Consider the following 1,930-nt stretch of genomic DNA (forward strand, 5'->3'; position numbering starts at 1 on the left):
TCAGCACTCCTGTTTCTTTTGTTGTTTTCTTTTTCTCAGAAGTCTTTTTCTGCTTTTATCCTAATCCCAGTCATGCATGAGAGAACAGTTGTGCTCTGTTGTTTGGCTGTTCTGCTAGTTTTGAATCAGTGGGACTCCCTCTTTGTTCTCTTTATTTTCTGAACACAGAAAGGTAAAATAGTAGAAATAGGGATTGGAACTCTTAAGAAGAGAAACCTATATTTATTTAGATTTAATTCATTTTTTGGGCCATGTCAGTAATAATTAAGGAGTTGCAGTGAATAGAACAGGGATCTCAGTTTCCTTACCTAGAACATTTTGTTTAACTGCTATCTCCGGAAATAATCTATTTTAACCACATGTTTCCAATTTTGACAATTGTTGGAATCTGCTTAATCATTTAATGTATGGCTGTTTCTTTCCCACTTGGGCTTGATACATCGTAGCAGTTGCTTTATGATTCAAACACCACCTACCTGAAGTGACAGCTGCATGGGGTTTAGTATGGACTTCATGATAAGACCATTTTAAAATCACACAAGAAGATCTGGCTGCATCTATCTTTTTCCAGAGCATCAAAGAAGCTCCTGTAGTTTTTAATATTTGCATTTTAATTTTTGTGATTTTTAAAAGGCATTCAGAAGTGAGACTTGAACTTAGGATGAAAATGTGAGGGCTTCATCCTTACAAAACAGCCCCTTTCTGATGTGGTTATCCAACATGGGCTTGCTACAGGTTGTCATGGTGATAGTGTAGGCCTGAAAATTTTCACAGGCTCAAACTATGAAGTTTTTGAAAACTGTTTTGATTAATTTTTCCTCCACTCCAACTTCTCTCTCACTTCGACTGTTTTCTCTTTTGTTTCACACTTGATTTATGGCAGGTTGCTGTCATTTAAATAGATGTGCATTTTGAAATTCCTCCTTTCTTTGCCAATGCAAAGAAAAAAATAACCCATGCAAGTCATGCTCAAAGAGTTGGTTATTGTTGCTTGCTGGATTTCGACTCTCTGTGGTTGTCGGGCCTAATTCAAAGTAATTCAGGCTCCACAGTGGGGGCAGTGCATAGCTCCACAGGAAATTATGATAGCAAAAGTCTTCCTGTCGAGCTCTGCACTTGGCACTACAAAGTGCCTCAGGCTGCAGCTACCTGAATAGGGTTGAATTAGACCAGACAACCGCATCATCCCACTTCTTAATCTATTAGAGCGATATACAAGTGGCAATTGTTGATTGCAAAAATGGGATTAAGAGGCTCTTCAAGTGAATTGATTTTCTTGTGAGAACAAAAAGAGGAAAGAGAAGCCTTCGTTTGAATCACACAGCCAGAAATTTTCATGAATGGGTTCCACTCCAAATGTTAGAATTAAAGCAATCAGTGAGTCCCCATGGGGTGTGCAGGTGAGAGAAATAAACTGCTCTAAAATAGCAAATTATGTGCAAAACCCAAGTTTAAGGCATCTATCTGCATTGAAAGACTGCCCAGAATAAAGTAGCCACTGGAAAGCTGCCTAATAATGTGACACAGACAATGATTTGCAGTGGTTCCTTTGTAGATTTGCACACTAGTGTTGGCTTCAGCTGGAGTCAGGTGAGACTTGGACATTCCTCATGATTTAGTCTCTGCTTTGCCCCGATGACACTTCTTTCCCTCCCAGGTCAGTAGGTCCATGCTGTCTGTTGAAAAGTTTCCCTGTGGGCCAGGTCTCTTTTGAAGAGTCACTTAATGCCTAGGTTATTTTTTTCCTTTGAAATGTCCTTAAACTTTTGACTTTGATTACTTTGGAAAATGTACATAGATTCTTCCTAGTCAGATTAAAATTGTTTTACCTTTTCCAAAGTGTCATTTAGTTAGGAAGGACGTTTATCACAGTAGTGTGTCTTCTGATGGCCAAATGGTACAGGCAGGCCTCTGCTACAGGGTGATTGTA

The 1,930-nt window shown here is 39.1% G+C and overlaps 1 annotated feature.

Annotated features, from left to right (window-relative positions):
• Positions 522–1,587: an enhancer, noted in NCBI's record as "VISTA enhancer hs755". NCBI's record gives its function as "enhancer in: hindbrain (rhombencephalon)[8/9] | midbrain (mesencephalon)[8/9]" and the evidence as "EXISTENCE:transgenic organism evidence [ECO:0001131][PMID:17130149]".

Source organism: Homo sapiens, chromosome X (assembly GCF_000001405.40).
Source record: "Homo sapiens chromosome X, GRCh38.p14 Primary Assembly".
Classification (NCBI taxonomy): Eukaryota; Metazoa; Chordata; class Mammalia; order Primates; family Hominidae; genus Homo; species Homo sapiens.